The 26,939-nt window shown below is 47.8% G+C and overlaps 1 protein-coding gene across 12 annotated transcripts in view, besides 1 other annotated feature; it reads right to left on the bottom strand.

Annotated features, from left to right (window-relative positions):
- Positions 1–26,939, bottom strand: part of NHSL2 (NHS like 2) — a 242,442-nt gene that overhangs the window by 59,378 nt on the left and 156,125 nt on the right. For 3 of the 12 annotated variants that reach the window (XM_047442067.1, XM_047442069.1, NM_001438809.1), the window contains exon 1: positions 24,156–24,756. The exons of the other annotated variants lie outside the window; for them this stretch is intronic. In XM_047442067.1, coding sequence (XP_047298023.1) covers positions 24,156–24,222 — 67 coding nt within the window. In that variant the 5' untranslated portion in view covers positions 24,223–24,756. Of the gene's footprint in view, positions 1–24,155; positions 24,757–26,939 lie in introns of those variants that run through there. 12 annotated transcript variants of the gene reach the window in all.
- Positions 23,543–24,100: an enhancer, noted in NCBI's record as "H3K4me1 hESC enhancer chrX:71289659-71290216 (GRCh37/hg19 assembly coordinates)". NCBI's record gives its function as "activates a minimal SCP1, AML or CMV promoter by ChIP-STARR-seq in primed H9 embryonic stem cells {active_cell/tissue: H9 hESC(primed)}" and the evidence as "EXISTENCE:reporter gene assay evidence [ECO:0000049][PMID:30033119]".

Here is a 26,939-nt window from a genome sequence, read left to right as displayed (position 1 = left end):
TCGGGTGGCTGAGGCAGGAGAATTACTTGAACCCAGGAGGTAGAGGCTGCAGCGAGCTGAGATCATGCCACTGCACTCCAGCCTGGGCAACAGAGAAGAGTAGGTTTTGAAAGAAAGAAAGAAAGGAAAAGAAAGAAAGAAAGAAAGAAAGAAAGAAAGAAAGAAAGAAAGAAAGAAAGAAAGAAAGCAAGCAAGCTATACTAGGGGAATATTCACACACACGCACACAGATATAAGTCCAAGGATGTTCATTGCTCCATTGCTAGTAATAAGGTGAAAATGGAAGCATCCTCAACATCTATCAATGGAAGGTGAGGCAGACAACCTGTGGGTCACCCACCCTATAGAATACCTTGGACTTTGGAAGGAAGCAGGCCCTTTCTCAGCCATCTCCTTGACTCCTGGATTGAAGAAATAATGTTGCTCACAGCACAAGGCCAGGTATTCAGGAAATGACTGGTAACTGCTTGTGTATTGGATGGAGATAACCTGACTACTGCCATGTAGGGACCTGGCCAAGGTTCTACATCTGCAGAGAAACCACCTTTCCTGGCAACAAATTCCAATATATCTGGGTAAACAGTCCAGAGAATAGATTAGAACTCAGGTTATAGAACCATCATAAGGAGACAGACTTTATAAATATTTGAAAGCAATATTAGCAAATTGATGAGATGGCTTGCCTTGTCTCAAAGCTAATTGAACAAGAGAAATAAAAGGCTTTTTCCTTTAGTTGTGAACATCAAGAAGTAGACATATTTGTGGTACCTGGCTGTGTGTTGACTTGAGAAGTCCAAACTTATCTCTAGAAACACAAGCACACTTGCATTTACCAGGAGCTTAGCAGACACAAGTCAGGAAGTTTAACTTGAAAAATGACACGAATCCTCTCAACAGATAATACTTCTTGAATGTCTTTATGCATTAGGCACTGAGGTGGGTGCTTTGCATTCTTTGTCTGGACTAGTTTTCATAACAACACTGCAAGGGAGATACTATAAGCCTCATTTTATTGGTAAGGAAATGGAGAAGTCAAGAAACTTGCCCAAGGTCACCACAGTTAGTGATAGTCAGGATTTGAACTCAGATCTGTTGGGTTACAAAGCCTGTGTTCTTCTCAATACTTCACTTTGGAGATAGAAGTATTAATGCAGTTAATGAATTTGCTGAATTTGGCCTTAAGTCTAAAATATCAAAGAGGAATCCAACAATGTTCCCCATGCCTCCCTCACTCACAGCCTCCTCCTGAACAGAGTTGACAGAGGGATTCCTCAATCTTGGATCACTATTTACTCATTCAGTAAATATTTTGTTGAGTGGCTACTCTGTGCCGGGCACTGTTCTTTAGGTCACAAATGGACACACCAGACAGCCTGGGCCTGAGTCAAGGGTAGCCATCTTTCAGTTGGGTCTGAGGGTGCCCAGAGGCCCGTGAGGTGCTTTGCACTGAGCACTCAGGCTGATAAGAATGTTCCAGAAGGTGGAGTGACCAATTGACCCAATAAGAACCCCTCTCTTGGGGAACGTGTATGTGACAGATACATACAGAGGAGCACAGGCAGTGAGGTGGCCCAGAACCCAGGAGAAGCCCAGGGAGACAGCAGTAGCAGAGCCATGGAGAATGGGGAAAGCAAAGTCGTGGGGAGCAGTCTTGTCCAGCACTCCTGAGACATCAGTTGTGAAGAGCAGTGGCTGCCAGGGAGGGGTTCACTTATGCATTAATTCTTACACTTATGTCCCATCGCCCAAGGAAACGGAAGCACACCTTTGTTCTCGCAACCTGAAACAGGCCATCTAACCTACAGCTCTTGGAAACTCATACTATGAAGAGCTGTGCTTCACAAGGCACAAGCTTGCACTTCTGAACCTGGATCTTGAGTTCTGTATTTGGTCCTCTTGGTGCGTGTGTGTGTGTGTGTTCATGTGTGCATGCATGTGGTGACAGTGAATTAAAATACATTTTGCTGGAGGCCCCCCTCTGCCAGCAAACTGGCTTCCAATCCAGGCTTCCTAGTCCTGGCTTGAGATTCAGAAATGGTTCTGCATGAAGCTGAAAGAGGGTAGTAAGGATCAAAGAATCTCTTTTGACACTCTAGGACTTGCACCACGTGGGTTTGTGGATCATGGGTATCCTGGAGTGCTGCTAGACACCTAAGGTCTTGGGGACACAACACTTGTGGGCTACATCCACCGCTGGGCTATTGTGAGAGCCTCAACCATACTCATGGGGAACAACTGGAAAATCTCTGCCTTCCCTGACCACACTCCCACCCCCACCACCTCAGGTTCTCATCCTGCTCTCCAAGCACACATTTAAAAGGCTTATCACATGCTGTGATGCGGAGAGAGGATATGGAGGAATAGGCACTCCTATATACAGCTAGTGGCAGGGTCAACTGAAACAACTTCTTTGGTGGGCAGTTTGGCATTAACCGTCAAAATTTTTTTTTTTTTTGAGACGGAGTCTCGCTCTGTCGCCCAGGCTGGAGTGCAGTGGCGCGATCTCGGCTCACCGCAAGCTCCGCCTCCCGGGTTCACGCCATTCTCCTGCCTCAGCCTCCTGAGTAGCTGGGACTACAGGCGCCCACCACCACGCCTGGCTAATTTTTTTGTATTTTTAGTAGAGACGGGGTTTCACCATGTTAGCCAGGATGGTCTAGATCTCCTGACCTGGTGATCCACCCGTCTCGGCCTCCCAAAGTGCTGGGATTACAGGCGTGAGCCACTGCGCCCGGCTAACTGTCAAAAATTTTAATGCACATTCCTGTTCACCCAACAATTCCACTTCTTTCCAGTATAGATTTAGTGCATATGAAGATACATGAACAAAGAACACATGAACATTGGAGTACTATGTGTAACAGCAAAATACTGGCAACAACTCCAGTAGGAGACGGGTCAGATAAATTGTGGTTCAGCCATATAATGGAATTCTCTGCAGCCACTAATAATAATTATGTAGCTAAGATATGTACTGATGTGGAATGTTCTCCAAGATACAATGTCAGGTGAAAAAAGTAAGGTGCAGAATGTTGTGTATAGTATGTCATCAGTTACATTAAAAATCTTTCTCTATCTTTCTTCCCCACCCCCTCTCCATACACACACACACACACACACACACACACACACACACTCACATACACTTGTATATGCACAGGTCATTTTGGGAATGACACTAGAAACTGGTATCTGTGTTTGCCTCTTGAGGGAGGAGCTGTTAAAGTGGGGATGGGGGGTTAGGGGTAGGCAGGAGAATGACTTTTTTCATGAAATAGTCTTTTACACTGTTGAATTTCTTTCCACAGACATATAGTACTTTAAAAATGTAATAGTAATAAGCAAAAGCAAAATTAATTGCAGAATTCCTCATCAATAGGGGATTGGTTAAATAAATTGTGGTACGTTCTTACTAAGGAATACTATACAACTATTGAAAAGAAGATATATTCTGCCATAGAAAGATGTCCATAGACATATTAAGTTTTAAAAATCAAGGCTCGGTGTAAAATACATAAATAATTCCATTTATGTAAAAAGATACGGCCGGGCACGGTGGCTCACACCTGTAATTCCAGCACTTTGGGAGGCTGAGGCAGGAGGATCGCTTGAGCTCAGGAGTTTGACACCAACCTGAGCAACACGGTGAAACCCTGTCTCTACAAAAAATACAAAAAATTAGCCGGGTGAGGTGGCGTGTGCCTGTGGTCCCAGCTACTTGGGAGGCTGATGTGGGAGGATCACTGGAGCCTGGGAATTCGAGGCTGCAGTGAGCCATGATTGCACCACTGCACTCCAGCCTGGGTGACAGAGCAAGACCCAGTCTCAAAAACAAAACAAAACAAAACAAACAAACAAACAGCAACAACGACAAAAACAAGATATAAATACAAACACACATGCAGGCATATTCATAGGAAAAGTTCTGGGATGATATGAGCCCCACTGTTACTGTGCGTAGTCTTCGAAAAAGACTAGAATTGGTCAAGTTAAAGGCAGACTTTCATTTTTTACCCTAAATACTTGTTGATTCACTTTAGATTTTTTTTTTGTACAATAAGTTAGTATTTTATTTTACAATAAAATGCACAAATGATAAATTAGAGGCAGGATAACAAGTCCCACTCTTAGAGGGATCTGCATTCTAAAACTTGGTTTCCTTCTACACTCCTCCATCCCAGATCCCCCAGTGGCTTCTCAGAGCAGACAGACCCAGCTCCCAAGCCTGGCTTGGGTGTTGCTGTGGTTGCATCTCACCTTTTCTCCCACTGCCCCTTCACACTTTCCTCTGGAAAGGCCACTGGGATGCCTCCCCAGCCCCAAGCAGGTGTTCATCTTTCTTCACTTATTCAATTTGCTTCCCTCATGCTCTATGCACCTAGATACTGCTTCCTCCCCACTCCACCCCTAGTATATTGAACTTCCTTTCACTCACGCTATAGACCCAGCCACCTCCTACAAGCCCTCTGGAATCCTCTTGCCCATTAGCGAGTGAGTACCCCAGGGACTCATTCTGAGCTTGGGAAGCTGCCTTGTGACATTCTTTATTGGGCTATCTTGTATTGCTAGTTAACTTCCACAGAATCATTTAACTATAATGTGAATAATCACTCTTTTGTTTACGAAGCACTTCCACAATTATTACTTTTTTTTTTTTTTAACAAATCCTCCTGTCCATTTCACGAGGTAGGCAAGGCAAGTATTGACATTATTATTCTCATTTCATTGATGAGGAAACTGAGGGGTAGGGAGGCTTCTTGTTCAAGGTGACACAAGTAGAAAGTGATCTAGAGGAACCTAGATCTTCCTGACTAGTCTAGGACACCTGCTTTTGTTCCCCCAGTCAGAATATAAGTCCCTGGAGGACAGGAAATGTGTTTTCAATGACTCTGTGCACAGTAAAGGGGCAAAGGGAAAGTCATCAGCATTCTGATGGCAAGCTTATGAAGAGGACAGGACAATCGGCCATCCGAAGGGTATGTAGTGAGGACTTGCCAAGTGCTTAGGTCAGGGCTGCATGCTGGAAGGAGACAAAGGCCGTCTTCATGTGAGGCCAACGCACCAATGAATTAGAACACAATCAAATATGAAATGAAAGCGATTTGAGGTGGTACCCAGACGAACTTTTTCCTTTCTTTTTTTTTATTATGATTTTTTGAAACAAGGTCTCCCTGTTACCCAGGCTGGAGTGCAGTGGTGCAATCACAGATTACTGCAGCCTGGTCAGTCTGGTGGTGATGTGTAGTATGGACTGAAGTAGGCTTCATAAGGGACCCCAGAAAATGTCACTAAGGTGTTAATGCCCAGAAGAGTCAGGCCTTGAAGCCAAAGTCAAGGCCATTTCACGGAGACCCATGTGGGAGTTGTGCTTTGTCATGTGTTATTTAAGGTGTTAAGAAAAATTATCTAAAACTTAACCACAAGGCAAAAAATATCACTGATACCCTTTTAGGAGCATGTGAGAGCACCATCCATGCAGCTGTTTGACTTACAATTCCCTATTAATTAAGTTCCAGACTCGGTAAAGTTAAAAGTTAACTTGTAGAAGAAGGAGAAGTTGCAAATGATTTTTGTCTGGTAGAAATGAAAATTAATTCTGTCCGGTAGAAAAGGCAGCCACAAAGGTTACCGTTATATTACTCTGTAGAACTAACCAGTTTTTGTTTTTGTTTTTTTTGAGATGGAGTTTCGCTCTTGTTGCCCATGCTGGAGTGCAATGGCGCAATCTCAGCTCACCACAACCTCTGCCTCCCGGGTTCAAGCTATTCTCCTGCCTCAGCCTCCCGAGTAGCTGGGATTACAAGCATGCGCCACCATGCCCAGCTAATTTTTGTATTTTTAGTAGAGACGGGGTTTCTCCATGTTGGTCAGGCTGGTCTCGAATTCCCGACCTCAGGTGAGCAGCCCGCCTCGGCCTCCCAGGGGAGCAGCCCGCCTCGGCCTCCCAAAGTGCTGGGATTACAGGAGTGAGCCACTGCACCCGGCCAGAACTAACCAGTTTTGTATCCAACTTTTTTTGTTTATTTGTTTGTTTCTCGAGATGGAGTCTTGCTCTGTCATCCAGGCTGGAGTTCAATGGCGCGATCTTGGCTCATTGCAACCTCCGCCTCCTGGGTTCAAACGATTCTCCTGCCTCAGCCTCCCGAGTAGCTGGGATTATAGGTGCGTGCCACCACGCCTGGCTAATTTTTTTGTATTTTTAGTAGAGATGGGGTTTCACCATGTTGGCCAGGCTGGTCTTGAACTCCTGACCTCGTGATCTGCCCACCTCGGCCTCCCAAAGTGCTGGGATTACAGGCGTGAGCCACCGCGCCTGGCCCCAACTTTTAAATCTTATTCCAGCATTCTTGTGAAGTCTCTCACACCTTTTTAAAACTACTTTGTTGCAGTAAAATATACGTAAGACACAATTTGCCCTTTTAAGTGTACAATTCAATGGCATGAAACCTATTCACAATGTTGTACAACCATCACCACTATGGATTTCCAAAATGTTTCATCACCCCAAACAGACACACTGTAACTGATAAGTAGTAATTTCCTATTTCTCCCTCTCCTAGGCCCTGGTAACTTCTAGTCAACTTTCTGTCTCTCTGAATTGGTCTGGTCTACATGTTTCATATAAGTGGAATCATACAATATTTGTTCTTTTGTGTTTGGTTTCTTTCGGTTAGCATAATGTCTTCAAGACTAAACTATATTGTAGCATGTGTCAGAACTTCATTCCTTTTTTTGGTTGTATAATATTCCACTTTATGGATATCCCAAATTTTATTTCTCTACTCATCTGCCAATGGACATCTGGGTTGTTTCCACCTTTCAGCTATTGTCAATAATGTCTCACTGCAGGTCAGACCCCCCAGGCTGGGATGACCCCCAGCCCAGCCTTCCTTCATAGCCCAGGCCCTCTCACAGCCCAGTGCTATGAACATTCATGCAACTGAACATACCTGTTCAAGTCTCTGTTTTCACTTCTTTTGGGTATATACCTAGAAGTGGAACTGATAGGTTATATGGTAATTCTATGTTTAACTTTTCAAGGTAATTCTATGTTTAACTCTCGTATCTTTTTTAAAAAATCAGCTTTACTGTAATGAGTTAAATAAATCTTTGACACGTGATCATTATACATTTGAATGAGACTCATGTTTTTACCCCTTTGAAAATTACATCTTGATAAGGGTGGTTTATTTACCTTGCTTTTTTTTTTTTTTTTTTTTTTTTTGAGATGGAGTTTCACTCTGTCTCCCAGGCTGGAGTACAGTGGCATAATCTCAGCTCACTGTAACCTCTGCCTCCCAGGTTCAAGTGATTCTCCTGCCTCAGCCTCCCGAGTAGCTGGGATTACAGGCACCTGCCACCACACCCAGCTAATTTTTGTATTTTTAGTAGAGACAGGGTTTTGCTATGTTGGCCAGGCTGGTCTTGAACTCTTGACCTCAAGTGATCTGCCCGCCTTGGCCTCCCAAAGTGCTGGGATTATAGGCGTAAGCCACCAAGCCCAGCCTACCTTGCTAACCCTTACAGCAGAAAGCCGACCCCTGCGCCTCCCTGTGACCCCCATTACTTACTGCATCTCCCTATAAGGAAGTATGAGAAATGAGGGCCCCCTTGTTTAACCAACGAGGCCAGCAAGATATTTTGGTAGATCCAAAGAGAAAGGAAATTTTTAATTAGGGTCCTGTGGTAGTGATGGGAAATGAAGTCATGTGAGGGCTACAGAACATGTGTATCTTTATTATTGCTGGGAACATATGAAGCTGGAACATCTTTCTCCTCTGGAACACAAAACAACTGTTGGTTCCCTACAGCATTATGACTTCTGCTAGGAAAGCTCTAGAGAAAAGCTGTGCTTTAGGTGAACTCTGGGACCAGGCAGACCACAAGGAGGCCCATTGGGAGAGATGCTAGAATTCTTTTTGTTCAGCCTCAAAATTTGTCTTCATTGGCATCTGACAGGGAAGGAGGCCCCGAGGAATCTTTTAGGCAGGGAAGGAAGAGGAGAAAAAGGACTTGGCCTGGAGTTTGAGGAGGAGGGTGGGCACAAAGGTGGGGGAGAGGGCGCAGCATACGGGTGGTAGGGAGGGAGTAGGGAGCAGCTGCACTGCCTGGGACCCAACTCCTCAAAGAGGATTTTTAGTTGCCTCTATGTGGTATTTTCTTCAAACTATACCCCCCCACAAAAAAAAAAAACAAAAAAAAAACAAAGAATTTCTCCTAGAGCAGTGATCATACAGAAAATCAGAGGTGTTCTTGGTCTCACACATTTTTAGTGTTTCAAACCAAGAAAGTTTTGCTTTTTTGAATAAGGCTGACATTTTAAAATACCTGTATTTCCCCCCTTACAGCTCAAAAGGAACTAACTGGATTTTGATCCCAGTTTTCTCAAGTTTGAGACAAGATATGGAAGAGCAGATGAGTGCAATGGATGAATTTCACAGGTGGTTAAGAAGGTGCAGGAAAAAGAAAACCAGATTAAAAAAGAATGTCATGGTTATAAATATGATCCGAATATATCTATTTCTGAAAGCATACCGGGCAGGTTAAGAAAATAAAGGTAAAAACCTACTTTCTTCTGACACCCTTATTTTGCTATCTTGCAGGGCTAGGTCAAGATGAAATATATGTAATAAGCAAAGAACTGCATGTGTCTTTGAGAGGGGCTGGGTGGTACAGGGGAGAGGGCCTGGGCTATGAAGGCAGGCTGTGCTGGGGGTCATCCCAGCCAGGGGGGTCTGACTTGCAGTGAGGTCTAAAGCAAACCCTGGATCTCTGTTTTCATATGTTTAGGGTGAGGACAATAATTCGTGCCTTAGAGGGTTGTTAGAAGGGTCATAATAGAAGGCCTCCAAGAAAAGCACGAACAAAGTGCTGTGGAAACCTGGTCTTTGGTACACATCACAGGTACACATCACATCACTTACTGCACTGTTCTGGAATAGTCCCTTTTTATATCTGTCGCCCTGGTGATACCAGAAGTTCCCTGTGACTTGTTTGCCTCTGTAACCTCCTTGCCTGTAAGCCCGGTGACTGGAACATCATACCCAGCCATTCTGTCTTTTAGCAAACATTTACTAGGTCCTACCAGCTGCCAGCTCTTGATAGCCACACTCTGCCCTCCAAACCACTGTTCTCTCCTCGCTGCCTCCTCAGCACTGAAGCCCCAGAGGCTCTGACCAGACCCGTGTGGTGGACACTGTGATGTGTGCCCAGATTCCCGTTCAGGACTGAAGGCCTTATTCCCTCAGCCGCGGAACTGCTGCTGGCTGACGGCCCTCTTTGGGAAGTGCCCAGCTACCTCCTCAGACAGAGATGCTTTGCTCAAGGCTATGCTTCCTCCTGGGGGCAGCCTGCATCTAAGGACTGGTCCCCTCACCCTGACTCAGAACAACTCTAAAGGACCAACCCAGCTCCAGAGCTCCCCAAGTGTCAGCTGAGGCTGTCATTAGGACAGCATCATAGTCCAATTTCTCCCTCCAACCAGTCCTGCATCTTTCCCTTAGACTCTAGATGCTGATCCTAGCAGTACCCCAATAAACTTCCCGCATGTGACCTGCAGACCCCAGGCTGGGTTTGTGGCCTGTGCAGGCTCTGGCTTGGCATCTGGAAAGCCTCAATTCCAAGTGACACCAGGAGCTGTGATAGTCCCCAGGACCAGTCACTGACATAGGCCTCACTCACAGTTATATTCTCTCTCCCCCTCTCTTCTCAAGCTTTTCTTATAAAATGCATTGGCAACCAAGGGTGGAGGATATAGGCCTGTAAGTGAATGATGGGAATGTGAGAGATGCTACAATAGAGACATGAACCTGGTGCTAAGCTGAACTTAACCTGGGGGATTTGAAGGAAGGCTTCCTGGAGGAGGTGCCATTTAAACTGAGTCTTGAAGGATAAGCTGAGGTTTGATGAGTGGGCAAGGATATGGGAAAGACATTCCAGAAAAAGGATGCAACATGCTGGAAGGCACGACAGTGTGTGGGCAGGGGGAGTAAGGGGCAATAAAATCTGGGACAAGAGTAGAGACAGATCGTGCAGGGCCTTCTAGGCCTTAGGAACTTGGTGCTCAGAAAACACCTGCTGAGTGAATGCCACATTCCAGTGTTCCCCAAGTTTTGGCCATTAGGGTACCAGTTTCACAAGTTTTGCTGTATGTAGGCACCACTGGTTCTATTTACAATTCACTTAATCTTTTTCTCTAAGTGAATTGTTTTTTTTTCTTAAACAAATAAATCTATATTAAAAGAAATTCTATATGGAAACCATAACCAAAACCAAAAGGAGTATCACTTGCCATAAATAGAAAGTGGCTGTATAAAGAAATACAATGAGAACAGAAGAGAGTAATTAAATTCTATGTAGATATTGTTGCCTGTCCATGTCTTTGAGCCTGAGGCCTGCTCTAGCTTTGTTACAAAAGAAGATTAGTAAGCATTACAGAAGTTGAAGAATAGCACCACACTGAGACCTTGTCCTTGATGTAATCAGAAAGCTGGAAAGAGAAGGAAAAGAGAATCATTTTCTCACCATGTAATTCAATGTTCTTTAAAGATGTACTATGTGCCATTAAAATCGCCTTGGAGTTCCCTCCCTGCCACTTCGCAGACTGTGAAAACAGTTGGTAAGCACTAAAGTAGCCTACAAATGTGGTTGTTATTGCCACTCTGTCGCTGTGGCCATTGGCTCTGGAGCCATTGCTTGGCTCAGCGAAGGTTTCCAAACCAGTGCCTTTGGCTACCCTCATCCCAACACTGTAGGGGGGAACCAGCAACGGTGGGGCTGGAGAGAGGGGGACCCTGGGAATCCTAGACTCTTTGAATCAGAAGGGCCAGAGAGAGTGTCTTATCTTCCCACTCTGGGGAAGCTGGGACCACAGAAGGGACACAATTTGTCCAAGGCCACAGAGGTGGTTAGTGTTAGCAGTCTAGGGAACTGTTAACATGAAAAAAAACAATAGTATAGTTCATTGTTTTAGGCTACTGATCCCAGTAGCTGTTATCTGCAAGGCTGGAGTACAGAATGTGGGAGAAGCCAGCCCATGAGGCCTGAGAGCATGGGGCACCATCAGAGATATCAAACTGCTGCGCTCTTCAGCCTGGCCGAGGTTGGCGGTGGGCCTGAGGCCTGTGTGATGGGCAGTGTGGAAAGAACCTACCAGAGGCTCAAGTGTTTATAAAAGAAACCCAAGGAAATGAGAGAGGCCAGCACATCAGAGCTGCTCCAAAGGGCAGTGCCAGGTCAGCCAGGGACATCCTGGGACTGGGCAAAGCAACTAAGCTTTGGAGTTTGATGGGCCTGGGTTCAATCCCTGTTCTGTCGCTTCCTAACTATGTATGACTTAAGGTAAGTCATTTCAGTCACTTAAGCCTCCTCACTGGAGTATAATGTGGGTAAGGATGGTACCCACCTCACAGGGTTTTTGTGAGGATCACACAACCAATACAATCAATGCAAAGACAATGCATCTCAGTCAATCTTGGTGCTTTATTTGCCTCCTGGACTCCTGCTAAAGTGCTGAATTTACTTTTGCAATACTAAGGCATGTAGGCAAGGAGAGGCAGGAAAGGGGAGGCAATTAATGCAAAGCTCCTAGCACAGGCCTGGTACATTACTTAGCATTGCTTCCTTCCCCACCCTCGCCCCTGCACCCTGCGCAACCAGATTCCTGACCATACATTTTCTTCTCTCTGGCTCCCTCCCCTAGCCCAGACTCCCAAGCCCATACCTCCAGGCCCTGTCTGACCTATTCTTGTGCTCACCTGGCCCACTTATCTCAGCTATGGGGTTAATGAGGAGTCTTTCAAGTATATGCAGATAAGAAAGTTGAAGGGTCACACTTCACAGGGTGGGACAGGGACCTCCTTCACCTAGAGACAGGGGAAGGTGGATGCTCTAGGGCCGATGCCTGGCCAAGCAACTTGTGCGTCTCACTGGAGGGAGAGGCCAGCTGTGGCCTCTGTCTGTCGAGGTCGCGGCTCTGCTGGTAGAGAACAAAGAAAAACTCTGGTCTCCTGTGGCATTAGAAGGCAGTGCCTGAAGCAAGTCCCTCCATTAAAAGCTACAGGACGGAAGGTTAAATATAGCCCTTTCCAGTTGTCTAGGACAAAGATTTATGAAATGTCAGAGCTGTGTTAGAGTGAGAAACGATCTTATCTCAGCTCTGTTTTTAGAGAGTAGAAAGGAGGCAATAGAGAAGAGAAATAAATCCGGACTTTCACCAGTGGGCCATGGGAGGCCATCACAGGATTTTGAGCAGCTGCGTCTGTTTTTTAAAGGCTCGCTCATGCTGCAGAGTGGAGAATGGGCTGGAGAGTGGAAGCAGGGAGCCCCATAGGAGGGAGAGAGATGAGGGAGGCCAAACCAGGTGAGAAGTTGTGAAGGTGGAGGTCAGGGGGGTGTTGGGCCTTCATCCCAGGTGAGGGTGGCCCCTCCTTCCCATTCTCTCTCCCTCAGAAGCAGAAAGCTCGCTCCTACATGCCCTTCTTCTCTAGGGCTCACTCTGTGTCTCTGTGAAAAAAGTAACCTGCAAAAGTTACCAAGACCCTTGGCTCCTTTTCAAGGCAGGCCACTGCACCCATGGAGGGTCTGTTGGAAAGTTCCTCCTTGTCTACAGACCTCAGCTTTGCCTCCTGAGGCCCCACGCAGACCGCATCTACTCCCATCATCCAGTGACAGTCCCTCAAAGACCTGAAGACCAAAGATCACTTTCCTCTGATTCTTCTCCATGCCAAACAGCACGTGGTCCTCATGGGACTTCGGTTTTGGTCCCGTCACCACTTTAGCTCATAAACTGCTTTTGAGCATACGCCTGATGCAAAGGGCCAACTAAAACTCCAGAGACACAGCATGGACTCAGTCTGTCCTGCCAGCTACCTCCACAAGCAGTAGCTTCCAGACATTTTCAAGGGCATGTCACTGTGGCATCACGCGCCCCCTCCCCCACCACCACGTGGCTAGTCTTCTTCACAGAAGCCAGAGAGGGGTCCTAGTGTGGCACAGGGCCCTGTACTTGCTTCTGCCTTACTGCCAGGAGGTCTGGCTTGAACTGCAATTAGAAAGCTCTTGGTCCCTTGGTAGCAACCTGTGTGTACAGAAGACCAGTGACAGGAACCCCTTTCCTGCCTCTCCTTGCCTACATGCCTTGGTATTGCAAAAATAAATTCAGCATTTTAGCAGGAGTCCAGGAGGCAAATAAAGCCCCAAGATTGAATGAGATGGATTGAATGAGATGGAATTTTCTACCACCGAAGGGACAAGGCCTCAGAATCTGGGACAAGAGTAGAGGAAGTAAGAGGTGCAGTAATTCTTACACACACACACACACACACACACACACACACGTGCAGAATTCCTCCATCACTTTTATTAATCCTTTAGGATCCCAGAATATCAGGGTTGGGATGTGATCACATCCACCCTGTCTTCCAAAGCCATCCGATTATGAATTCCCTTCAGAGGATCTCGGTTAAGTGGCCATCCTGCCCCTCTGTGCACACCTCTAGAACGCAGTCCCACTCCCTCCCAAAGCAGCCCAGGCTGCCTCAGCATAGCTGTGAGTGCAGAAAGCTCCTCCTCCTCCATGAGCCCCAGTTCCTTCCCTTTTCCCCTCTGCTGAGCATGCACCCTTCTTCCCCCAACGACTCACCTCCCCGGATCCAGAAGAGGGTGACAGAGTCAGTTCTCTCCATCCCAGCGGTGTGGATAACCAAGAATCCACATGAGAAAAGTGTGTGCTGAGCCCACACTGGGGGCAGGGAGCCGACGGGCTCCACACTGTCCCAAACCCTGTCCCTAGGCTCCTCAGTGGGTGCCCAGGGACTTTCCTGAACCCCGTTTCCCAGCACCTTGGTCCCATCGATCACATACTCCTTTGCCCATTGAAGTTGTTCCTGGGCAGCCCAGCCTAGGGAAAGCAACTGAGGATTCAAAAGTGAGTTTCCTCTCTCTTTCTCCACCCCGCTGCACTCCACCCACAGCCACCCTGGACCCGTCGGCCCAGTCACAGCGGACAGGCGAGGGAAGTTTACTGTGAGTTGGGCTTGTCTTTCTCTAGGTAAGGTTCTCAGCCAAAGGCCCGAGTCAGAGCCCCTCAGAGGGCTGACCTCCCGCTCAGCGGCTGTCCTGCAGTGAGGGGAAATGAACAGGAACTGGCTGTCTGAGTCAGCGCCCCTGGTCTATTGTCACTGTGCAGGCCCCTTCCTTCCCAGAGGAGAGGCGTGCACAGGGATAGGCCTTGTTTTTTGCAAGTCTCTCTTCCACACACACACTTTCTCTCTTGGCCTGGAACGAGTCTGTGAACTACGGCTGGATGCAATTCCATTCAATTTCCCCCAACGCCTAGCAATGGCCTACTCTACAGCACATAGAGGTCATCTCCTATCATCCTCACCACAGAGGAGCTAAAGACAACTAGTTCCATTTAATCCAGGAGGAAACTGAGGCTCAGAAAGGGAAAGGGGCTTTCCCAAGGCCCAACAGCTAAAGGATGAGACTTGGGGTCATCCAGCTTGCTCTTCGTGGCATCAGGAGAACCCTGCCGATCTTCCCTACCTCTTCACCTACCTACACTTCCGCCAATAGACTGCAGATTCCAGCAAAGCCTATTTCCTGGTGCACAAAGCACAAGAGAATCACTGGCTTTCAAACACTGAAAACATATCTTGTTCCAATTTGTTTCTCTTTGTTTGGAAGGACAAGGACCCAGGAAACAAATCGCATGTGGGAGAAGCTCCTTACAAAGGGACTTCTTTGTTCTTCATTACTAAATGACTACATTGGCAAAATGAGCATGGGCGATGGATTGAGCCCTCGTTCCAGTAACTGTCTTCTAATCGGAAGAGAGGAATCATTGGCTCTTGCTCACAGGGTGGAAAGAGACTCAGCGTGAGACTTACTCTCTTTTCTATCTTTGCCAGGGACACAGAAAGACAAGGAAACAGCTTGAAGGAAGGCTCAAGATGGAGGTCTACCTTCGCACATGGCCAGAGCCATCTGCGTTGAAAAGACTTTCAACTCTTTGAGGGCAGGGCCAGGGCTCATGCATGGGTCTCTGGAGACCCTACCTTCAGAATGTATTTGTACAGCATGGTACAGAAGCCATATAAAAAGACTGAGGTGAAATCCCCAGACAAGGAGAATGCATTGTGTCCCTGAGCTGGGAAGAGGGTTAGTTTCCAGGAGCAAGGAATGGTTAGATGCATTCAAGAAGTTAAGTAGTCCGAGGCGTAAGCACTGTTCACTTTAGCACCACTCAGAGGGTGACCTTGGCAAGGATGGCTTCACGGAGGCCAGACTGCAGCAGGTTAAGGAGGGAAATGGGAGGGGAGGGGAGACACCTCTCAGGAAGTCTGGCTGTGGTTAGAGAGGAAAGAGGGCCGTAGCTGGAGGGAGAGGCAGAACTAGAGAAGGGAGTCAGATGTTTGTCAGGATGGGAGAGATGCTGTGTGTTTTTAAGTTGAGGAGCTTCTGTGAAAACTGCAGTTCCACCCTACCCTCTGTACTCTCTGAAGGCTGAACTTCACTTCGGACCAATTAAACCAGAACTTCTGAGGGGTGGAGCCTAGGCATTGATACTGCTTCAAATCTCCCCAGGTGGAGAACCATTGCACCAGTTTTTAGGAAAGTCCAGTCTTAAAGCCCAGCTAGTGGGCTAAAAGCAAGGACAGCCTGACTCTTACCCCCCTCACATTGGCAGATTAGCATAGGGGCTAAGAAGACAGACTTGGGAGCCCTACTGCCTGGGCTCAAATCCCAGCCTCACCATTTACAGCCTGTGTGCCCTTGGGCATGTCACTTAACCTCTCTGAGCCTCAGTTTCTAATCTATAGATCACTTATGTAGTCTACGGTTTCTCATTTATATATGCCCTTTAGGAGCTAATAAAAGGACCTGTGCCATAAAGTTGCTATGTTGACTCTGTGAGTAAATATCTGCCCACTGCTCAAGCTACTGCCTGGCTCCACAGAAGCCCTGCTGGAGCTGGCCCGTGTTTCCTAGCAGTCCTCCTATGGCCTTTCTGACCGGTACCCTGGGCCTTCCCTCTAAGGCGCAGGAGGGCCACCTTTCTAAAACACTGCTGCTCCTACTCTGGGCTTGGCTCTCCCACTGGCTATTGTCTCTGGCCTGCCTCACACATACCTGAGTTTGTCATCCTGTTTCACAGTCACATCTCACCCCGGATCCCTCTGGGCTGGAGGTGGCTTCTGTTGCTGTGGTAGGAGCTGCCATTGCACATTGCACATGGCCAGAGCCACATGTTATTTGAGATGGGAAGACTCCACAAATTAGAGTCCCAGTCCATATTTGTCTTTTGTTCCCCCAACTCAGGTTTGGGCGTTCTTTGGGCTGGAGTCATGGTAAGCTATTGTCCCTGGGTGGGGAAACGGCTGTGTATATAAGTTTCCATGACACAGACCTCATGTTTCTGGGGTTGGAGACCTGTAATTGAGGGCGGTGGGGAGCCATCTTCATCCTCAGAACCAGCAGTGTGACCTCTGGCTCTGAGCATCATGACTCTCAACCTTTCCAACCTCGCTCTGTACCCTGGGCAGACAGCTCCCATCCCCCAAGCCAGCCAGGAAGACGGTTATGGTGCAGGGTTGGGATAGTCAAGATTCTGGCAGGGGAGAGGCCAGAAGTGGCAGTGTTCAACAGTGGGGAGGTGGGGGGAGTGTGAAGAGCTCAGCCTGGGAAGCTAGAAACCCCCAAAGCCAGGTCCCAGAAGCAGAAGCAGGGCCCCAGGCTGCTAGGTGGGTCAGAATATTCCACAGGGGCAGTGCATGACTTTTATCTCCTGTGTGGCATCGGGGAGGGGATTGCACATCTCTGAGACAAGCTTAAAGGGCCCAAAGAGCACCCCACCTGCACCCCACCCTGACCAGGCCTATGAATTCCACAAAAGGAATTGATAGAGGTGGCTCTGTGCTACCCTCCCTAATGCCAAAAACAAAACTCAGAGAACACACTCCACCCGAATGGTGGGGAGCAATTAGGAGCCTCACCCTGCTCCTGGGACCCCCACACCCCTCTGTCTGTGCTCTGGGAGATTTTGACAGGAAACTGACTTTTGAAATAGAAAATCTGCTATTGAGAGAAATGAAGGTTTCATCAAAGACAATTTACTCCACATGACTGGAGATGGCACTTAGGAGGCCACGTTAGCCCAGATTGTTTGAAAGTACTGCCTAGGGGTGATGAGGAGCTGACACATCAGTGTGCAGGGTCTCCTACCAAGGACATCTTTCCTTGTAGTCTCAAGCATCATTTTTGCCTCTTTTCAATGTCAGAGCCTTGTCTGGTTTCTCCCAGCTTGATAATGGCTGTACGGCCATGACCATGTGGCCTAGGGTGTCTCTACTCTGTTAATGAGGAAATCCCAGAGGTCATAAGAACAACTCTTGGGCAGTGGTGGTGGCAGTGGTGGGGAAAGAAACTGGACTGTTGCCCCTATTGATCTCTGTAGCTGCATGACCCTGGGAATGTCACCTTACTTTTGTGGATCCATAAAATGAAAGGTTTGTGGGAGATTAGTGGTTTCTAAGCACACACCTCACCTTTACTAAAATACCTGGGTCTCACCATAATGGAGACAAAAAAATCTGCTTTTCTCGTGGAAGACTTTTCAATGTTGCCATGCAAAAATAATAATATGCATGACCATATATAATATACACTGTGTTCGGCTGGGCTCGGTGGCTCACATCTATAATCCCGGCACTTTGGGAGGCCAAGGCAGGCAGATCACCTGAGGTCGGGAGTTCGAGACCAGCCTGACCAACATGGAGAAACCCCATCTCTACTAAAAATACAAAATTAGCTGGGCGTGGTGGCATATGCCTGTAATCTCAGCTACTTGGGAGGCCAAGGCAGGAGAATCGCTTGAACCCAGGAGGCAGAGGCTGCAGTGGGCTGAGATCGTGCCATTGCACTCTAGCCTGGGTGACAAGAGTGAAACTCTGTCTCAGAAAAAAAAATACACACACAACACACACACACACACACACACACACACTGTGCTCCCCCAAGACCCCCTCCACATCCCTCTCACCGCCTCATTGAGAACCCCTGGTTCAGGTGATTTTTAGAGACCCTTCTTACCCTGATCATCTTGAGCAATAACAAGAGCAGCTCACACACGCTCCTTGCTTACTACATAGCAGGTGCTTTACATGCAGCACCTGATTTCATCCTCACAACCACCCCATGAGGTAGGCACTATTAATTCCAACTGACCAAGGAGGCTCGATGAGCTTAGGTCACTTGCCTGAAGACACACAGCTTGTAACTGGCCAAGTCTAGCTGAGAATCCAAGAGCTGTGGAGGTCTTCACCATGTTCAGAGTTCAAGCATTTTAGAGGAAGAGAAAAACCCACAACATTTTCTTGATGATTTCCCATCCAAGGCGAAAACTAGAAAGCTTTGCTTGCTTAATCAGATTTCAATGGCACCCAGCACTGAGAGAAGACAAGGTGGTTGCTAACTGAAGCCACCCAGCAGCACAGGCCCAGGCTGGCTTTGTTGTCAACTGGGTGTGACAGTGGAAAACAGTATCTAACACTCTTGTTTCAAAGCATCCATACACATGCCATGATAAGGTTTTACAATATGCAGCATTTTACACTTCACAAGGTCTTTGAGAATGTCCCAGATCATTTGCTCCTCAGGCTATTATTATCAACATTCATACATTGCAGATGAACAAACTGAGGATACAGGGGTGAAACAGCTTTCTCTAACATAAGGATCTGAACTTGAGTTCAAACGTGCAGCTTCCCACACTAATTTCATGATCTCTCCCCATTCCTTGTAGCTGCCTCTCTCCAAAAAGGTACCTAATTTTGTCTTTATGTCTTCCGAGTGTGTTTGCTGGCTCAGGGAAATGATATGATTTGGTCTCTCAGCTTGACAGAATGATTTCCCAGTGTAATTGTTGTATGTGTTAATGGTTTTTATTATTCTTTGCACAAACAACATTATAACAACATTAATGGAAATCTAAGGGAAAGAAAAATCCACCAAGCCTGCCACCCACAATAAATCAAGTTTTGATTTTTCCACAGTTCTCTTCCAATTATTGGCCATGTGCAGACATACTTTCTGCAGGGTTTGTGAAGCTCAGCATAGAAACAGTTTTGTGTTTTGCCTTTTGCATGTTACACTTTATTATAAGCATTGTTCATGTTGCTCAAGTCTTCATAATTAGCTTTCATGGTCTACCATATTTCAGTGAAGTTGGATGCAACATCTTTATTTTGCCATTCCCCTTGTATTTGACATTAGGGTGGCCATTGTACCTTTCTTTTTACACCTACTTTTTGTTTCCTTCTATGTTCTGGCCCAGAAAATGTGGGCATATCACGATTGGCCCCAATCCCCAGGGCCTGTGCCTCTGCCTCCAACACATCTCTCAGTCATGGGAGGAGGGCACCAGGAAATATTTTGTTCGGTGGCCTAGAATTTTAACTTCTTCCATACCTTCCAATGGACTCATTAAGTCTGACTAGAAAATAGGTCTTTAGGAAGAAGCTCCCAGGGGGATAGGGGTCAATGGACTCCCTTATAAGTCTCTGCCATTTTAGCTTCCACCATACTGAAATCGAGGATGTGAGAATTCAATAAACTTGTGAAGATGAAAGAGCCAGGTCAACTATAAAAATGCCTTGCAAATGTAATGAGATGATTTCCTCATTTTGTTTAGGTACAGAGAAGAGAATGGTGGACTCATTTTCATCCTGAAGCACAGGCCACCGTATTTACAGTGCTGATTCGGTTGCTTGCGGGGAGAGGGATGTTGGAAACCAGCATGATACCAGTCGTCTGGATCTGAAGCCTCTCTCAGCCTAACCTGGTTTAGGCTTAAATTCAAGAATCCTCTACTTTCTTATTACCTCAGGAATCCCTGGCTCTAGCTTCTGGACCCAGCATGGAGTCCCCAATGAGTTCAGTTATTCCAATAATACAAATATGCCATCAAACGATATGTGGTGGGACTTCTACAAGGCTGGGCATTGCAGCCCTTGTTGCCATAGAGATTTGCTAGCCCTACCACAAGCAAGCCCAGACCCCTCCTTCCACCACATCCAGTCTCCAGGGTTACTAATGCCTGTCACAGATGCAAAGATGCTGAGAAGCACATGGTATGGTGCAATAGGCACAGGCTTGAGAATTAGGCAGATTTGGGCTCAAATCCTGGCTCTACAACTTCCTTGTTATTGGATCATGGGGCAGCTCTCCCTTAGTGTCTCAGTTTTCTTATCTGTAAAATGGCATCAATAATCCCTGCCTGGTGGTTTCTCTGAGCTAAGTAAAGTTGTGGATGAAAAGTGCTGGCATATAATAGGTGCATGATGGATATTAACTCTCTTTCTCTTCTCTATGGGATGCTAGTTCAAACAGCTGGTCCATATATGCACAGCTATGCGTATGCTGTATAGTGATGGTGGCGCTAGCATGCATCCCCCTCCCCACCACATACAGATTCACAGGGTGACAGGGCTACACTCACTCAATAGGCGAAAGGTGAGAGTTGGTGAGAACTCAATCCCAACTCATGAGCTTGGCAGACAAGGCTTTCCAGTCTTAAAGCAACCTATGCTCTAAGGTCCTGTTGGGCTTCCACGTGCTGCGACTGCCCCGCTCCCCCCCGCCCCCACCCTCACCCTTACTGGCTGTGTGGCTGGTTTTGCTCATCCTTTCCCTGCTGCAGCTCAGCCTGGCTGCTCCTCCACAGTCTCCTAAACCTGTGGGGCTTACTTCTGGCTCCAGCCTCTGGGAAAAGTTTCCTCCCTCTGCAATCATAATCACCCTTCTTCGTTTGAAAAGCAATTTCAACTTTCAAAAGCTTTCCTAGCTATCTCACATCGCATCTTCCCAATTACCCTGGGAATGTGCTAAGGATCCCCCTGAGGATTTGTAGCTTTTTATAGCCAAAGGACAGAGGTAGCAGAGGTGGATGAGCTGCCTAAGATCACCCTGCAGGTTACTGGGTAAGAGAGACCGGAACCCAAGTCTTCTGAGTCTTGGTCAAGGGTTCTTTCCCACCCTTTGGTATACAAATTGTAGCCCTTGCCCTAGAAAAGCTTACATTTTACTAGGAGGAGATAAACATGCAATAACAAGTATAAAAATGATAATACCAGCAATGATAAAATTATGTAAAAGGTATCAATTTAGTACCGAGGAGGGGGTGATGAACTTTATTAATTAATTTGTATGAAGGAAGGCGGTCAGTCAGGGACAGTTTCAGAGAAGAGGAAACACAGGATCAGGATTCTGAAGGCTGAAGAGAAAACTGTCAGGAGAAGATAGCAGGTGGAGGAGGTGTTCCAGGCAGAGAAAAGTGCATTAGTGAAAGCATGGTAATGCTGAATGGGAGCATTTGGAGACCTTCAACTCATTCAATATGGCTGGATCAAGTTCAAGGTGAGAAATGATAGCTGGTGAGGCTGGAGAAGTAGGAGGGGCCCAATCATGAAAGATCTCTAAGTTGTGCTAAGGAAAACATACTTTATCCTAGAAATGGGTGCTTCTCAAGCCTCAGGCATTGGTATCTCAGTTTCCCAACTTTTGCCATTTCCATGTGCTTCCTATTCTACTATTTACTTAATCATTTTATTCAAAAAGACTCGCTTTAAAAACATTTAACCTTACCCTAATTTAAAAAAATATGAGAAATCATGGGTTTGATGTATTAGTTATATATTTTTTGAATACACATTAAAATATATACAGAACTTGAAAGGCAAAAAGAGTTTTCTCTGTTACAACTACAATGATCCCCTGGGCCACCTGAGATCCACTCCACACTTGGGGAGCAATCGTAATCTCTCGTACCCCAATTAGTAAGACTTGAGTTCATAGCAAGGGAGCACAGGGACAGCTCATTCTGGTGGCTGTGTTGGGCGTGCCCAGGAGAAGGTCAGAGGTGGAAGCAGACAGCCCAATTCTGGAATAAGCGAGAGTGACCAAAGGCCTGGATTTGGACACTGACAGTAGGATAAGAGAGGGGCTCAGATGTCTCAGAGGAGGCCTCGAAAATGAATACTTTTTGAATGAATGAGCAGATAGATGGATGAGTGAAAACTGTAAAGTGTGTGGTGAGGGAGAGAGAGAGAGGAGTGAAGGATGACTACCAGGATGCTAGTTTGGGTTACTGGAAAGACAGTGGGGTCACTAAGCGAAAATGGAAGAGAGAAAAGCGAGCAAGAAGAGAAAGAGTGGCACAAGTTTAGCCCAGTGGGAGTGAGTGTTCAATCGGGGCTTCTGGGATCACCTAGGGATTGTGAGTGAGAAGGTGTGGTGTTGTGGTAAGGTGAGGACCAAGAGGTGGAAGGGAGAGGGAGGGAGAAGCAGTTATGAGGCCACCTCCTCGTGCTGCCAGAGGCTGTTCCCATAGCTACTACGTCTAGGATGACCCTGGATTGGAGCTGGCATTGAAGATACAAAGCAACTTCTAAGAAATGACACAATAGCCAGTAACTGTCCCAAGTTGTCACATCAGCAATTATGTAAAAAGTTATCTTCAAGCTTCTGTACTGGGCTGCACAGAGCATCTCCATGTAATACCAGCAGGTCCTAAGCCTTCAGCTCCAAGGCAGAGAAGCAGGAGACTCTGAGGTGGTGTTTGGGCCATTCACCTAATGGTGGCCTTGGAAGAGTATGTCCCTGAAAGATTCCAAAGAAACTTCAATGCTCAGAATTTTTATTCTTTGGCTCAGTCCACCACAGAGACCCAAATTCAGCCCATATAGGAGGCCAAACAAAGCCCTGCTCTGACAGGCGGGCTCCAGAAACAGTTACCCTGCGTGCCAGCATATCCCAAGTTGCTTTCCTGTAGCTTCTCTCCCCACCACGCCCTGTAAGAATCCCATTGTAGGGCTGCCCCTGGGACTGGCTGGCCTTGGACAACTACCCTCAACTGCATAGCCAGCTGAGTCCCCAGAAGGAGGCAGAGGCAACCCTCTGGGCCGGAGCATGGCACACTTTTGGCAAGACAACAATCCATTTATTGCTTTCTTATGGTAAACGTGAGTCAAACTTGGCAAAAACTTTTCCTTCCTTCTCACAGGCCCGAATGGTGAATGAGAGCTTCCCAAACAGGCACAGAGGGAACTGCAGGCTCCTCCTGGACTCTGTGTGATGCGAAGGGTGTGTGTGTGTGTGGTGGTGGTGGTGGGGGTGGTGGGTGCTGACAAAGGAGGAGAGGGAACTCCACCAAGACAGAGGGAGGAGGGCACAGAGAGAAAGTACTTGTGACCCTACTGCATGAAGCCTAACCCCAGGTAGCAGTGGAAGGTACTTTCAAGTGGCCAAGGGGTAGATAGGAGGGTAAGAGTTGGTGGAAATGGGTGAATGGATGAAGAGAAGTTGCTTCCAAATTGTTCTTGCACCGCCTGGGAAGGTGAGCTAGGAAAAGTTGTCTGCAGACCTTGATTTCCACAGTGTCAGCATCCAGGAAGGAGTTGTTGGGGAGAACTATGCCAGCACCCTTGAGTCCATATCTGGAGAGGGGCAAGGAAGGGGCAAAGCAGAGCACACCCAGAGGTAGGGGAACAACAAACTCAAGGCCGGCAAATGCTCTTCTCGCCCATGCATGAGGAGAGCTCTGTCAGGGCTGGGGCAGGGTGGTGGGGGGCAGGGCATTACACAGCAAGAAACAGATTTGTCTGGATCATTCCATGCATGCAGCATATGAGGTAGAGCCAGGAGAGGTGTAGGTGTACATGTTCAGGGCGGGTATGGGGGCTGGGGTGGGGGGAGACGAAGGTTTGAATAACAAAGGAGGCTCGGCTAGTAAAGGATAAGCCATGCATGGTTCCAAGATTCTGCCTACTGGATCCAGGGAGAAAGCACAGTCCTAGCCATGAACTTCAGTCACTGGCACGCTGCTCACTTCTCTGACACTCCAGCCACCCTCCAGAGGCTACACAGGGTTGCCGGCGAAGGGGCTGGCCCCTCCCAGCTCAGGATGCTCTGACTTATGCAATTCAGCCTGTCACAGGAGCAGGGGAGCTGGAAGTTCACCCTCATTTCCCTCGGGTTCTCTCCCTGCCCCCTGCCAGCCCCTGCAAGTCACGCCAAGGGTCAGGGGCCCCGCATGGCAGCAGCTGGGAGGCCCTGGCTGTAGGAGCCCCGGAAAAGGAGGGAAGGGAAAAGAGTACCTGTTGCTGAATGCATCCTGCTTTGGCTTTTACTCCTCGGTTGCTTGTGGTGAGAGTTGCCCATCATTCTGCTCTGGACTGGCAGCCACCGCGGCGGCCGCTGCCACCTCCTCCTCCTCCTCTTTCTCCTCCTCCTCCTCCTACTCCTCCTCCTCCTCCTCTGCCTGTGCTCCTCCCCAGGTGCTTACATCACCTCAGCTTTGCTTCTCACACACATGGCTCTTCCAAATCCCACTTGTGCCCCTGGCACAGAATTGTACAGATCTGAGCCTCTCACTTGGACTAGAGCCTGCTAGGAGCTTCTCTCAGTCTCTCTCAGTCTCTCTCTCTCTCTCTTCCTCCCTCTCTCTCCCCCTCCCTTTCCCCCTCCCCCTTGCTCAGTGCTCCACTCGGGTCGAGCAGCCCAGGTTCCAAGAGAAACCCTAGCAAGCCCTGAAAGTGGCCCCCACTTCATCTGCCTCTGCAGAAAGGGCCAGCACAGGCACCCCCCGGGACCCGACTCGCCCGCCCTCACCGTCCCTGGCTGTCTCTGCTCTCAGTGCTGTCATTCCTGCTGCCGCTCGCTGGCTCACTCACTCGCTCACTCGCTCACTCTGTCTGCAGAAGCTTGCAGGAGCGCGGGGCCAATAACAGAGCCTAATCCAGGAGTGTGACAGGGTCTACTGAAGGAATGTGCTACCCAGGAATTCTAAGTGACACAGCTCCCTGCTCCACTGGGGGATGGATCCAGTTCTGTAAGTGACAGCTGCCAATGAGCTCTGGGCTCCAGTCCCAACAGAAATCTGGGAAAATTTGGGCAGAGCACAAAGCTGTCAGGCTGCAGACTTGGAGCTAGCACAGCCAGATGCCACAAGAATGCCCAGTGTGGCCACCAGGTGTACCTGCTTCCTTGTCAGACACACCTGAAGCCTCACTCCACTCTCCCCTCCCTCTCCTGCTTTGCCTTCCCAGGGGAGGGCAGAGCTGGCAGCCCAGAGATTCACAGACTGGAACTGGGACCCTTGGCAGCCAATGAGAGGGCTCCTTCCATGAGTCCCACAGCAAATACATGCGCTCTCTCTCTCTCTCTCTCTCTCTCACACACACACACACGCACACACACACGGACACACTTACGCAGCCGCTCACTGTGAGTGCTGCAGCCCTCTGGGATAAGCGACACCGGGCAGGTGGTGCTAGCTCAGCAGCCCATTCCAGCCCCAGCAGCCTGGCTGTGAGGAAGGGCTGTGGCTCCTGGAACCAACTCTGCCAGAGCTAGACAGCCTCAAGTGCCTTCACTCAGGCGAGTGGTGGTACTGCTCAATGCTGATGTCATCAGATTTCTGCTCACTGGGACAGGGGGCCTGTCTGTAATAGTCATGGCCACAAAGCACTGTGGGTGTGGGTCTGGCTAGAGCTTCAGCCTGGAAGACTTGGGGCACTGTGCCATCCAGAAAGCAGAGCTTTCTGACTTTGGGGCAAGAGATCTAAAGTGGGATCACCACATCCATCTGCCCACTCACCTGCCCAGTCATTCAGTCATTCTTTCAGCAGTTCCCAGGGATCTGCTCTGGCCAGGCTCTGTGTGAGCGTTGGGGAGATAGAGGTGCCAGTCATTGCCTAGGAGGGTGTGAATGACATGTCCAAAGGCCATGACAATACAGAGAAGGATCAATAATGTTGTGAGACTATCAAAGAGAAGCTTCTTCAGTCTGGAAGGTCTAGAGATACCTTCCCAGGGGAGGTGATGCTTGGACTGGGTCATGAAAGATGAAGAACAGTTGGCCAGAAACAGAAAGGGGAAGGACACACTGTTAACTGTTTGGAATATTACCCCTGCTAGGAACCTCTCCTGTTGAGTCTCCAGCTTTCAAGGGTCTCTTCAGTTTTCTTCAACAATTCCACAAACATCTCTCAAGCTACTGACTTCAGGCTGTCTCAGCCTAGTGGGGGCAACAGATAATTATAGAGAGGAATCACAGGATAGTGTGACCCATGCTTGGGCTTTGCAGCTCACTGTGGAATGTGAGGCTTCCAAGGGGATCGATCTGAGGCCAGAAAAGAGGGCTTGGGAAATAGAGGTCCCAGAGCAAGCATGAAGGGCCAGAAGTGAAGCATCTTGGGAAAATACATTTATGAATATGATAAAAATCATGAAGATTGAACACAGCAAAAATCTTCAAGGTGATAAGTGAATAACTGAAGCTTGGAGAATGTTTGGTTCCTGACCTCTTATCCATTTGTGATGGGTCCTAGGTATGAGTCTTGGTAGCTTCAAGGTTGTAAACATGGACTTTAAGCTCAGAGAGGCTAGAAAAGACAGGACCATGACAACTTGAGATGATTCTAGAATGCATGGGACATCCTGAAAGTGAAAATAGAATTGAATTTGCTTGGGTTGTGCACTTGGGACCCTGGATTATATTTCCAGGAACATGAGGAAGCTTGAATAGGAACAGGTATGTTTTGGAAGAGTTTGGGGAGTAAAGGCATGGGGGTGGTGGGGAGGAGGAATGAGTGAATGATCACAACCTGGACACACTTGTGTACCCCTACTTAGGTCAAGAAGTTGAACATGACCAGGGCTACAGAAGCCCTTCTTGAAGCGGTTTGTTTGTTTGTCTGTTTTTTTGAGACAGGGTCTTGCTCTGTCACCCAGGCTGGAGTGCAGTGGCATGATCATGGCTCACTGAAGCCTCAACCTCCTGGGCTCAAGTGATCCTCCCAACTCAGCCTCCTGAGTAGCTGGGACTACAGGAGCACCCCAGCACTCCCAGCTAATTTTCCTTATTTATTTATTTATTT

Source organism: Homo sapiens, chromosome X, assembly GCF_000001405.40.
Source record: "Homo sapiens chromosome X, GRCh38.p14 Primary Assembly".
Lineage (NCBI taxonomy): Eukaryota > Metazoa > Chordata > Mammalia > Primates > Hominidae > Homo > Homo sapiens.
Note: the sequence above shows the minus strand (reverse complement) of the source record. Positions and strands in the feature narration are given on the sequence as shown.